General features: G+C 37.8%; 1 protein-coding gene across 12 annotated transcripts in view; it reads right to left on the minus strand.

Moving 5' to 3' along the window:
• PDE10A (phosphodiesterase 10A) overlaps window positions 1-14,942 on the minus strand; it is a 660,764-nt gene that overhangs the window by 221,489 nt on the left and 424,333 nt on the right. The window lies entirely within an intron of this gene.

Raw genomic sequence — 14,942 nt, forward strand, 5'->3', positions numbered from 1 at the left:
ATGTGGTTGTCCGGTGGGACAGTTCATGTAGATCAAACAAGACAAATGCTTAATTTGTTCCCCTTTGTTCACCAGTTTTGAAAATAATGAGTGGATGCAGTAACATTCTCCCATGGGTAAACAACTAAAAAATAACAGTATTACTACGAAACCATATATTTGAATAAATTTGATCTGTTTCTTCCATTGTAACTATTATCCTTAACTGGTGCTCAAATTGTCCCATCTTGCAGCCAGGTGGAGCAGCCTCTTCAAGCAGGTTCAGTCATTCTGACAAGAACCTAGTCGATCTCAACAGCTTCCATCCTCTGCTAGTATGAGATATCTTAGGTTCCTTTTGTTCATTTTCTGCCCCAGACATAGAGTCGTACTCTTTTTCTCAGGATCTCTAGTTCCTTTCAGTAAATAGAAGTATTTCAATTTCAGGAAAATGGAACTAGATTACATAATCATTCATTGTTCTATCACACAACAAACATATAAGGTGGGTTTCTTTATCCTTTAAGATATATAACCAAGACAAATATATAAGTTATTACGGTTTTTTCTGTTTTTGTTTTTGTTTGAGACAGAGTCTCTCTGTGTCACCCAGGCTGGAGTGCAGTGGCGTGATCTCGGCTCACTGCAAGCTCCGCCTCCTGGGTTTAAGGGAGTCTCCTGCCTCAGCCTCCCGATTAGCTGGGACTACAGGTACCTGCCACCACGCCCGGCCAATTTTTTGTATTTTTAGTAGAGACGGGGTTTCACCGTCTTAGCCGGGATGGTCTCGATCTCCTGACCTCATGATCCACCCACCTTGGCCTCCCGAAGTGCTGGGATCACAGACGTGAGCCACCATGCGCGGCTGCATTATTATGTTTTAAAGTCACTTGAAATATTCAACTCTCTGTGGCTATGTCACCAACTGAATGCAAATTAGGTTCATTTCTGATATATCTTTAAATGTGTCTTTATGACAATATATTATCCTAATAAGCCAAAGCCTTTATTATTTCTGAAGTCTCATCACCTTAATATCTATAAAAATTATTTATTTTAAAAGTCAGTTTCAAATCGGAGGCTAAAGAATTATTGTTTTACTCATTCTAAGAAAGAATGTTAAATTAGTAATCATAGGTACTAAAGGATCTATTGTAAGAATTAGGAAAAAGCATTTTTCAGTATTAATTCTACCATTTTAATTGTGGAGAAAGATCCCAATTTTGTGTCTGTATTAATTTTAAAAACCAGTCAAAAGCATATGGCAAGTATCCAGTATATCCTTCCTCCTCTCCCATTATGCCTCTCGCCCACGACACCTGAGTTCTGACTCCTACAATTCCACATCACAGTGCTTTTACATGCCCTAAAACACGTCTTCCTGACCTTAAAAGAATTATTTTCTGCCACATTAGGTATCTTATCTCAAGCCCTCTGTCCTTCCTCAATCACAGAAAAGGGAAAATACACTAAATTTCCATTATCTCACAGTAACTAAACTCAGCTAGGTTAGGAAAAACCTTTAAAAAAATTCTAAGGTATACGTAACCAATAATCTCTTATTTATTGTAATAATTATCTCAATTTTGTAATTTCTTCTGTGTTTAGCCCAGATACAAACAATAAGTAAAATCATTTTCAGCTTCTTACAGTGTCAGTCCAACTGTAAGATAAATTTGGGGGAGAATACCACCATTTCATGCTATTAATTACTGAACTATAATAGTCCAGTTATCAAAGAACAGCTTGAACTGTGAGGGGGCTGTAATGCATGTCATATGAGGAATGGGTGAATGAGTACAAATGTTTAGTTTGAAGAACACAAGATTATTGATGGGCATTGCTGTTTAATCTGAATGTTATTAAGTATAACAGGTTAAGATATTTTTGGTTTATTCATATCTTGTTTTGTTTTTTCCATCCATAAACCCAGGGGGCAAAACTAGAATTAATAATTGAGGAAGTCAGATAACAATTCAACTTCAGGCAGAATGTTTAGGAAACAAGGCTTCTGTAACTGGAATGGGCTACATGAGCAGACAGTGCATCCTCCCACAATTGAAATGTTCAATGAAAGGAAAATCCAATAACTTTACAGACCTTTCACAGCGTGAGATGGTTTCATATTTTCCAAGCACCAAGAGATAAGTATATATACACATTTACGTTAAAAAATCTTATTAGTTTCAAAAGACAATTCCAAAACATATACCAGAAGTAGTAAATTTTCTTTATATTTCTGTATAAATAATTGTAGCAACTTAGTAACAAAATCTGTCAAGTTAAAAGAAAACGTATCTTGTGTCATACTAAGCAGTGTTATACCACCACACTGCTCATCAGCAATGTTCTTATTAACCTGTGTGTGTGTTCTCCCCAACTGCATACAATTGTTCTAGGCTGTACACATATGCACCTATGTAAAACCTTCCTTTATTTGTCCAAAAGCAAATGAAGGTCAGCAGATGTATAACTTTAAAATCAGGTAAGTTTGCTTTCAGAATCCCAAAATTCAACTTCATACACCTCCTTCTCTGTATTTACCTCTCATGCATTTATACTACAACTGTTTCACCTCCTTCCCCACCAAAAAGATAAAACAGCTAATAGCATTTGTTAATAACTGTTGGCCTACTTTGAATGCTCTCTGCATATAAGATACTATGTTATACACGTTACACATACTAGCCCAGGTAAGCCTCAGAGAACTAAGTATGTGGCACACAGAAAATGTTCAAAATATTTACTTAATAAATGAATTATAATCCCCAAAATATATAACAGGAAAATGAAGCAAAGAGAAGTTAAATAATTGTAGCAGTTTTCTATTGGCCACAGAAGCAATAATTAGGGTTGGAATGAAGATATAAGCCCAGGATGTCAGCTCTTAAGGCCAGACTGCCTTGTGTTTCTTTACACTTCCTCCCGTCTGAGGTTATTACACTTTAACAGGAGTGTTATTGGTCAGGGCTAGCTCCAATTTGGAATTAAAATTTACACGTTTTTACCTCAAATTATCAATTGAAAAATCTGACTGCTAATCTCAGGCTTTGATAAAGAGGTGGAAAGAAATCTTTGTAGCAGAAGCCCCCTGGAGACCCAAGACTAATCGGAAAATAAGTCTAACTGGAGGATGGAAAGGGAGCAGTCAGTAGCAATGATGCCACTTAGCCCTATGCTTCCCCCATTTCAGTCCTCCAGCATGCCAAGCCCTTCCTTTCCTCACCTCATCCATGGTCTTCGCTGCTATCTGCCCTCAATCCCCTCCTCTCTTACGGCTCAGTGAGACATTTAGCCAATTTAAAGGCAGTTTCACTGGAGCTACCTTCACTAGCCACACACTCTCCACTCACTGCACTATACTCTCATTGTACCCTCCTCCTCCTACACTTCAAGACAGTCATCAAAAGCTGAAATTTCTTACTTATTAGTAGGAATTTATTAGACTTCAGCCTCTTCAGCTAGACTATAAACTCCATGATCTGTCTCATTCTCTACATAGCACAGTGCCTGGCTCTGGGCAGAAAAGGGGTTAACACAGCAGACCTGACAGTGCTCTTCTACTTAGAAAGGCTGCTTGCAAGGTCAGCCCTTGGCTGGCATCAAGGACTTTGGCTCTGGGGGTGTTCCCAGTCAACAGTTAACTAAAGACCAGGCCACTGTGCCTAGACTGTTTGTGCATTTGTGCAAACAATATGGGTTCATGCTGAACACCTGCGTTCCTTCTGAGAGTCTGAAAAGTTTAGAACATGCCAGGCAGAGGGTGTGTACCTGACCAACCCCCAATAAGAAAACTGGGAATTGAGTCTCTAACATGCTTCCCTGGTAGGTAACACTAGACAAACACTGTTAGACGTCACTGCTGGAGGAATGAAGGTATCCTCGGAAGCCTGTGCCAAGTCTCTCCTGGATTTCACCCAGTGCACCTCTTCCCTTTGCGGATTGTGCTTTGTATCCTTCGGCTCTCATCAAGCATAGCCTTGAGTACAACTACATGCCCAGTCCTGTGAGTACTTCCAGCAAATCACCAAACTGAGGGGTAATTCTGAGGACCCTAAACACACAGACTATCATCAAGTGAATTAATTGCTTAGTAATCCTTTGTCTTGTATGATTTCACAGAAGACTAATAGGGAGTGCTATAGGTTTGTTTGCTGAAAACGGCCCAGTTCACAAGATCACAGACGGACCCACCAGGAATCCCAAATCCTACAGCAAGTACCTGAGCAAAGGACCCCTCCACTCATAGCCTGCTGTACCTACTTAAATTCCCATTCCTGCCCAAAGCCTACATGAGATTCTTTTCTTTCTCTTACTTCTATCTTCACTTTCCTTTTTTCATCTAAAGAGTTTAAATATGTAATATGTCACCCTTTACATAAAACTTCATGAACATAACAATTTATATAGCAGTTCTTTCTAACCACTTACTGATTAAGAGATAGATAGGCTCTAAATTTCTTTTTTTGGGGAGGAGGGGGGTGTCTTTTTTTTAAAGGCAAAGTCATTTATATGGAAATGAATGGAGGTTATCCAGGTGACAGACGTAAACAGTTTTCACTATCATTAAAATAACTTGAAAGTTTTGGTAGAAACAAAGAGATGTTTCTTTAGATTTTGGTTAACTCGATTGACTAGTACTGATACCATTTTTAACCAAGAAGGAAAAACAGGAAGCAAACTAAAAACAAATGCCTTATAATAACTATCCTTGTCCCCAAATATATCACCTAAAATCATTTCTTTCCATCCAAGTACATTCCACTGAAAGAGAATTGGTCTATGACCTAGAAAGCAGTCATTTAATGAGCCTTGGTTTAATATACTGCCAGTATTCTGACCTACATAATTGATTACTTATTTCACGTGAATTAACAGCCTAAGGGGTGCCTTAGCTGCAGAGAAGATATTGTTTCCCACATTCACAATTTGCATTTATCAGAAGATAAATTCCATACTGCTGTATTTCTAAACCAAAGTGAAATTAATTACTTGCTTTCTCTCCTAAGAACATAAATGAAAGTTTCTTTTAACTGAGAAAGTCAACTACAAACTTGAGCTGCTCAAAATGATAACATAAAGATGAAAAACATTTTTTGATAGAACTATTAAGAGTAAGCTTAAACCCACCAAAATTTACCCTTTCTGTGACTCAGAAAACCAATCTCCAAAGTGAAGTCTCAAATGGAGACAAGACATGCAGGCACAGGTTATGTTATATAAAGGATTTAATGCTCCATCTCTTTAGCATAAATATAATTCCAGATCTACAGTAACTCGGTGGGGGACTGGGGGTTCTGAGGCACCAGACGCTCAAATATAGGCTATTTTCCTTAAGAAAGTCACTTAAGTGTCTTGAGCAATACCTCATAAGCATAGGCAACCAAAGTAAACATGGACAAATGGAATCACATCAAGTTAAAAAGCTTCTGCCCAGTCAAGGATACAATCAACAAAGTGAAGAGACAATCCATGGACTGGGAGAAAATATTTGCAAACTATCACTCTGACAAGGGATGAATAACCAGAATATATAAAGAGCTCAAACAACTCTACAGGAAAAAAACCTAATAATCCAATCAAACAATGGCCAAAAGATTTAAATAGACATTTCTCAAAAGAAGACATACAAATGGCAAACAGGAATATGAAAAGATGCTCAAAATTACTGATCATCAGAGAAATGCAAATCAAAGCTACAATGAGATATCATCTCACCCCAGTTAAAATGACATATATTCAAAAGACAAGCAATAGCAAATACTGGCGAGGATGTAGAGAAAAGGGAACCTTTGTACGCTGTGGTATGAATATAAATTAGTACAACCCCTATGGAGAAAAGTTTGGAGGTCCCTCAAAAAACTAAAAATTGAGCTACCATATGATCCAGCAATCCCACTGCTGGGTATATACCCAAAAGAAAGGAAATCAGTATATCGATGAGATACCTGAACTCCTCTGTTTGTTGCAGCATTGTTTACAATAATAGCTAAGATTTGGAAGCAACCTAAGTATCCATCAACAGATGAATGGATAAAGAAAATGTGGTATATATACACAATGGAGTACTATTCAGCCATAAAAAGGAAGGAGATATTGTCTTTTGCAACAACATGGATGGAACTGGAGATCATTATGTTAAGTAAAATAAGCCAGGCACGGAAAGACAAACATCGCATGTTCTCATTTATTTGTGGGATCTAAAAATTAAAATAACTGCACTCATGGACACAGTGAGTAAAAGGATGATTACCAGAGAGGCTAGGAAGTGTAGTAGGGGGCTAGGAGGAGGTAGGAATCATTAATGGGCACCAAAAAAATGAACAAGTGAATAAGACCTACTGTTTGATACCACATTAGGGTGACTATAGTCAATAATAACCTACCTGTACGTTTTAAAATAAAGAATGTAATTGGAGTGTTTGTAACTCAAAGGATAAAAGCTTGTGGGGATGGATACCCCATTCTCCATGATGTGCTTCTTTCACATTGCATGCCTGTATCAAAATCTCTCACGTACGCCATACACATATACACCTAGTATGTACCCACAACATTTTTAAAAAATAATTTTAAAAAAAGAAAGTCACTTAACCCTGTAAGCCTCACTGTCCCCATAAACAAAAGATGGGCCCCAAAACAGTACCTACTCCATAGGGTTATAATCCATGCAAACACCTGAGCACATACTAAGTGACTTGTGACAGTTAATTCAGTAACATCTATCTTCATCAAAACAGTAGCACCATTATATTAAGAAATATTATGAAATTAAGATTGTAAGAGAAATGCCTTCCTGTTAGAAAAGACCATGCTACTGTTTTAGATACATTGATAATAAAATCTCTATTTACCTATATTTAAGAATATTTCATCTAGGTGTGTCTCAGAATAATTAATGGTTTAGATACATCCATGATGCTTATATTGAGAAGTATCAAATCCAGAAATTGTCTAGCTAGCCATCATATTAACTGGAAGGTGTACCCACAAACTAACCTCAAAGATACCAAGACAGTCTAATGTGAGAGCTTCCAGGCAGAACCCACAGAGATGGGTGCCCAAGGCTGGATCCAGCCAATTTGCTACAAGGAACAAGCCAGAGGAATGTGAAGTCAAAGACAAGTACAGTTGACACTTGAACAACAGAGGTTTGAATTGCACTGCTCCTATGTGACGATTTTTTCAATAATTATACTGGAAAAAATTTTGGAGATTTTCAACAATTTGAAAAAACTTGCAGACGAACTGCATAGCCTACAAATACCGAAAATTTTTAAGAAAAAAATCAGGTATGCCATAAATGCATAAAATATGTAGAAACTATAAGTGTTAATAAACTTATGTTATTGATAAGGCTTTTCTGTCAACATTCAGCTATTTGTACTTAAGTTTTTAGGGAGGGAAAAGTTATATGCAGGACTGGGCTGGGGGGGTCAGTACCTCTAATCCCTGCATTGCTCAAGGGTCAACTGCATAAAACAACACTCCACAGAGTGCTGGCGGTTAAGACCAGCTTAAGGCAAATATTCAACCTTGAGAGCTGAGCTTACACAAAACAGTCAATGAATCAAAACGGGTAAAAACAGGAAAAGAATAAGGGGCCAAGGGTTTGGTCAAAGTAATACAAGGAAGTCCAAGGCTTCTGCCTTGAAGACAGCTGTGATGGACACAGTTCCCTTCTTTGTATTGTGACATAGTTCAAATGGTTCTTGAGATGTGCTAGCTAATTTGGATTAAAGGGGACAATAGTCATTAACTTTGAAGGTAACAGATATGTTATTACATTATATGATAACATTAACCAAACCACTAAGACCCAACTCTCTGTCACCTGAAAGTGAAAGTGAATTCTCAAGTGCTGGACAATAGCCATGAAATACAAGTAAGCCTAATGCTAAGTAAATACATTCTGTACCTCAGCCACAATGCACACAATGAGCCTGTGGACAAGCATATCGGCTATGAAAGGGCAAGTACAGCCTTGCCTGGGAGTCTAGAATCACTTTCCACATTTAAAATAAGAATTTAAAATCTATGACTGTCTACTGAGGTTTTCAGTAAAGCCTTGATAAATCTTAAATAAAAAAAAAAAATTCTGAGCCGGGTGCAGTGGCTCATGCCTGTTATCTCAGCACTTTGGGAGGCTGAGGCAGGTGGATCACCTGAGGTCAGGAGTTCGACACCAGCCTGGCCAAAATGGTAAACCCTGTCTCTACTAAAAATACAAAAATTAGCCGGGCGTGGTGGCATGCGCCTGTCATTCCAGCTACTCGGGAGGCTGAGGCAGAAGAATCGCTTGAACCCAGGAGACGGAGGTTGCAGTGAGTCGAGGTCGTGCCACTGCACTCAAGCCTGGGTGACAGAGCAAAACTCCATGTCGAAAAAAAAAAATTCTTATAAATACTCCCATAGAAATAAACCTTATAGTATCCACTGTCTTGAGAGAGATTAAAATACGTTACAGAAGAAAGATAAGAAAATAGGTTTCTGGTAGTATAATTTAATCTGGTGGGAAAAGAAACAAAAAATGGAGAAAAGAGAGACCAAAGAAAGAGACTTATATACCGATTCATAATTAATAACCTTCATGATCACAGTTTCAACTGGGATTTAAAGAAAGCAAGAAGAATAACAACCATAATTTCTTATGCCCATTTAGTAAAATATTGTTTAAAATGAACATTATCATTTATTTAAAGACTTTAAAAATTATACCCTAAAAGTGAATGACATATTTTAGGTATTCTATAAATTATTCCTTTCCACTTATCAAAATACGTTTTTTAAAAATCATGATATTCATATGCAGACTTGAAACAAATAAAAATCACAGAATATATAGGTTTTCTACATAAATAAGCTGTCATATTTTTTCCTTCTTTGCTAGCAAATATACCTTCTTGAAAATGTTTGATTATCAATTCACCCAAGAATTTTTTTAGACTTCCTCTATAAAAGGATATTACTATTTATATTTCCTCAATGCAATGTAATTCATTTAAAAATACTGTGAAGTCTGACTATGAGTCAGGCATTGTATTTTGTTTTAGGATGAATAAGGGAACTCAAAAAACGAAGACAAACAAAGATGAATAGTTAGTGGATAAGCATGCTGCAAGGTCGATAAGGGTACAATGAACAGAAACATGAAGTATAGCTGACGTGATTAATTCTAAGTGTTGAGATTCTTTTTATTCAGTACGTGTATACTGAGTGCCTACTATGAATCAGACATATCTTGACATGCAATATATAACAAACGATATGCCTAACCTATGGAGCGTGGCAATGCCTCAAGGATCTAGAACTAGAAATACCATTTGACCCAGCCATCCCATTACTGGTTATATACCCAAAGGATTATAAATCATGCTGCTATAAAGACACATGCACATGTATGTATACTGCGGCACTATTCACAATAGCAAAGACTTGGAACCAACCCAAATGTCCGTCAATGACAGACTGGATAAAGAAAATGTGGCACATATACACCATGGAATACTATGCAGCCATAAAAGAGGATGAGTTCATGTCCTTTGTAGGGACACGGATGAAGCTGGAAACCATCATTCTCAGCAAACTATCACAAGGACAAAAAACCAAACACCATATGTTCTCAATCATAGGTGGGAACTGAACAATGAGAATACTTGGACACAGGAAGGGGAACATCACACACCGGGGCCTGTCGTGGGGTTGGGGGACGGGGGAGGGATAGCATGATATTCATATACAGACTTGAAACAAAGAAAAATCACAGAATACATAGGTTTTCTATATAAATAAGCTGTCATATTTTTTCTTTCTTTGCTCGCAAATATACCTTCTTAAAAATGTTTGATTATCAATTCACCCAAGAATTTCTTTTAGACTTCCTCTATAAAAGGACATTACTATTTATATTTCCCCAATGCAATGTAATTCATTTAAAAATACTGTGAAGTCTGACTATGAGTCAGGCATTATATTTTGTTTTAGGATGAATAAGGGAACTCAAAAAACGAAGGCAAATAAAGATGAATAGTTAGATGGATAAGCATGCTGCAAAGTCGATAAGGGTACAATGAACACGTATATATACCTAATATAAATGACGAGTTAATGAGTGCAGCACACCAACATGGCACATGTATACATATGTAGCAAACCTGCACGTTGTGCACATGTACCCTAAAACTTAAAGTATAATAAAAAAATATAAATAAATAACGGAAGCACTATAACAACAATTCAAGTAAAAAAAAAAATTAAAATTCTCTTTAATACTGGCTAAGCCTAGCCAACAGAAACTGGTGACAAATTATAGATAATGAAGCAGTAGGATATGTCAAAGGTGACTCCAAAGTTTCTAGCTTAGGTAATTGACCAGGCAGTTATGCTAGAACATGATTAAAAATATAAAAGGTGGTGAAGGATTCATGGAAAAGAAAATTGTTTTGGTTTGGGATCTGCTTAAATGTAGTTGCCCATAGGACGGCTATATGGTTATTTCCAATACGAAGTAGGAAATAAAAATGTGCAGCCAAAAAGAAGAAAATAGGGGCTAAGAGGGATATACGTGGAAGTCATCCATTTTGATAATAGCTGAAGATTTACAAGTGGATTAGATTTCCCAGGAATACTGAATCATATCCTATGTGGCAAAGAAAATGTGAATTCTCATCTTTGTCCTATATTATTGGTTTAAATCATAAAAGAAAATTACATACTGTCTCATTAGAAATATTTTTAATTCATTCTAGAACAATTTGAAACATGAGAATACTTTTTTCAACAAGATTATACAGTAAGCCCATTAATAAATCCCTTCTTTATTCAAATCATCAAGATTCAAAACCACCAATATAGTATCTTAGAGGATAACCTTTTGTGGTAGGCAGAATTTGAAGACAGTCCCTAATATGGTTTGGCTCTGTGTCCCCACCCACATCTCATCTTGAATTGTAGCTCCCATAATTCCCACGTGTTGCGGGAGGGACCTGGTGGGAGATAACTGAATCTTGGGGCCAGTTTCCCTAGTACTGTTCTCGTGGTAGTGACTATGTCTTACAAGATGTGATGGTTTTATAAGGGATTTCTGCTTTCGCTTCTCTTTCATTCTCTCTTGCCGCCGCCATGTAAAAAGTGCCTTTCACCTTCTGCTATGATTGTGAGGCCTCCCCAGACATGTGAAACTGTGAGTCCATTAAGCCTCTTTTTCTTCCCAGTCTCAGGTATGTCTTTATCAGCAGTGTGAAAACGAATTAATACAGTCCCCAAGACTTTTCCCTGATATGCACACTCTGCATGATCTCCGGCACTGTGAGGATGTATTTTACTTCCACAATAGGACATGTTATGCTACAGGTTGGTCCTAAAATAGGAAGATTATCCAACTGGGCCTGGCCTAACCAAATGAGTCCTTTAAGAGCAGATATTTTTTTTCTGTTGGTGGCAGAGTTCATGATTCAAAGCACAAGAAAGATTTGAAGACTCATTGCTGGCTTGAAGATGGAGAGCCATATGCTAAGAAATGTAACCAACACCTAGGAGCTAAAGAGACCTCAAGCTCACAGCCAGTAAGAAAAGGGGACCTTCAGTCCTACAACTACAAGAAACTAAATTCTGCCAATGGCAAGAATCAGTTTGGGAGTGGAGCTTTCCCCAGAGCCTCCAGAAGAGAACTAAGTAACGCCAACACCTTTATTTCAGTCTTGCGATATTCTGAGCAAATCAAATAGTTACACAGGGTCTACAGAACTGTGAGCCAGTAAACGGGTGTTGGTTTAAGTCACTAAATTTGTGGTAATTTGTTATGAGACAACAGAAAACTAATAAACCTTTACTTTTCTAAAGTAAATTCTAAAAATTGAATTACTTTTATTATTAATCCAGTTAAGTAAAAAGAAACGTATTTTCCAAACTATGTCACCCTTAACCAGTTAAGCAAAAACTGTAACTGCTGACAGTTGTCAAGTTGTAATCAATACTTTGTTTAGTGTAAGCACAAGCCCAGGGGAGAACGTCTATGCTTTTGTAAATCTCATGTTGAACTGTGGCCCCAGGTGTTAGAGGTGGGGGCTGCTGAGAGGTGACTGGATTATGGGGTGGTGTCTAATCGTTTAGCACCATCCTCCTGGTGCTGTCTCGTGATAGAGTTCTCATGAGATCTGGTTGTTTAAAAGTGTGTAGCATGGGCTGGGCACAGTGGCTCATACCTGTAATCCCAGCACTTTGGGAGGTTGAGGCGGGCGGATCACGAGGTCAGGAGATCGAGACCATCCTGGCTAACACGGTGAAACCCTGTCTCTACTAAAAATACAAAAAATTAGCCAGGCGTGGTGGCGGGCACCTGTAGTCCCAGCTACTCGGGAGGCTGAGGCAGAAGAATTGCTTGAACCCAGGAGGCGGAGGTTGCAGTGAGCCGAGATCACGCCACTGCACTCCAGGCTGGGTGACAAGGCAAGACTCCAACTCAAAAAAAAAAAAAAAGTGTGCAGCAGTACCTCCTTTGCTCTTTCTCCTGCTGTCATGTGAAGACACGTTTGCTTCCCCTTTGCCTTCCACCATGATTGTAAATTTCCTGAGGCTGACCAGCCATGCTTCCTATGCAGCCTCCAGAATTGAGTCAATTAAACCTCTTCTTCATAAATTACCCAGTCTCAGGTAGTTCTTTACAGCAGTGTGGGAAGAGACTAACACAATAAGCCTACAGTTCAATGCAAAACTGAACTGTAAAATCATGTAAGCCAAAAGAATCACAAATACACCATCAGAAAAGGGAAATAATAACAAAAACGTAACATTTATTGCTGTTGCTGTAAAAGTGTTGCACTACATTTTTTTCTGGCCTAACAAATTAATGTGTTTTGAGTGTTTTAAGATGTAAGTCTTAATTGTAAACTGAAATAACCAATAACCAGTTATTGGTCCTAAAATAGGAAGATTATCTAACTGGGCCTGGCCTAACCAAATGAGTCCTTTAAGAGCAGATAGTTTTCTCCCATTGGTGCCAGAAGTTCATGATTGAAAGCACAAGAAAGATTTGAAGACTCATTGCTGGCTTGAAAATGAAGACATGAATACATCAGATTTTTTAAAAATCTAAAGAACTACAGAGCTATCAAATTTTAGCATTATTATTTTTAATAGTTGCCAAATTGTAACCATTATTTATCAAATTCTAGTAGAGAAATAAGAGAAAGTTTTTTTAAATCATTAAATTTGAATTTCAGAAAATAAATACTGGCCAGGTGTGGTAGCTCATGCCTGTAATCCCAATACTTAAGGAGGCCGAGGCAGGAGGATCACTTCAGCACAGGAGTTCAAGACCCATCTGTGCAACACAGCAAGAAATGAAAGCATCTTCCTTGGGAGCAGAACTAAATGACTAGACCAGCATGACCATCATTAGTTTACTAGATATACTATATCTATGTATTATTTTAATAATTAAGACAATTACAATGTTAAGACAGTTCAAAAGATATAAACCAAATTTATATTTAAAGGGTATAATTCATATTATGTATAAAATAGAATGTAGCCTGTTATTAAATCTATATACCTGAAGAAAAGTAATGAATTAGACTTAAGTAGACACAAAAGGTCTCAATTTTCCAACTATTTTACATGAAAACAAAGACACTAGTATTAGCTCTTCTCAAGATAATTTTCAGATAAATATGATTTAAACTACAACTTAAGACAAAGATGAAAAAATCTAGAGAATATCAAAAGAAAGTCCTAACCATTAAAAACAGCAACTAACAATTCTTCAAGACATGTTTGATTATTTTTTTTTGTTTAGCATCTACATTCCCTAGTCCTACCACTTTCTTCTCAACTATGCCACAATCTGAGTCACAATTCTGTTTTCCAAGTTTCCGTGACACTGCACTGCTCCACTACTGCCCTGTACTGACCATGTTATAGTAGGTTAGCAGGGAGATGGTTCTCTTATCAACTAGGCCTAAAGATCCTTGAGGAACAGGAGAATTGTCACAGTCAGAGCCCACCTGGCCTGGCACGTAGTAAAATTTAAATCATAAGTTCTCAGCTGGGAGAATCTTTAGTCCCCCAAGAGACATCTGGCAATGTCTGCTGACATTATGGGTTTTGGTTGTCATAAGAGGAAGGGGGTACCAGTGACATCTAGTGACATCTAGTGCGTAGAAGCCGGCGAGGTTGCCTAACATCCTATGGTGCACAGAAAGCCTCCTGACAGCTAAGAATTATCCACAGAAAGCATCAACGGTGCTCACGTTGAGAAATCCTGTTTTCAACAAGTGTTTGCTCAAATAATGTGGACTTTATGAAGACAACAAAACTGCATAAAATACTGCAATCAGAATAATTTCAGTACTTATTATAAAAGTATGGCATATAAGTTAAATATCCCACAACCGAATACAGGAAAAAAAAGAAGAGGGGAGGGGGAGGGGCAGGGGAGAGGCAAGGGAGGGGGGAAAAAGAAAAAAGAAAGAGAGGAAGGGGGAGAGGGAGAGAGGGAGGGAGGGAGGAAGGAGGGAAGGAAGGAAGGAAGGATTTAGTAATGAGATCAAGAAGTTACTATGCTATTGCATTGTAGATAAATAAACTTAAGCAATTTGCTTCTAATTCCCAATTATACGGAAACCACAGGCACAAGAAAGTATTGATGTTTAGCACTGACAAAGAAAACTAAGTATAGACATCATTTCTTGGTACTGCCCCTCACAGCTGAATGTTTCTTGAGTGATGCAGCCTTTCTCACCTATTTATCTAACATATAAAATAAAAATTATACCTCTAACTCATGGCTTTCATGAGAATTAAACATAATATATGCAAAAGACATAAACCATGGCTCAAAAATGGTAGATACAGCTGGGTGCAGTGGCTCACATCTGTAATCCCAGCACCTTGGGAGGCTGAGGCAGGCCCGATCACTTGAGGTCAGAAGTTTACGACCAGACTGGCCAACATAGTGAAAACCT

Source organism: Homo sapiens, chromosome 6, assembly GCF_000001405.40.
Source record: "Homo sapiens chromosome 6, GRCh38.p14 Primary Assembly".
Taxonomy (NCBI): Eukaryota; Metazoa; Chordata; class Mammalia; order Primates; family Hominidae; genus Homo; species Homo sapiens.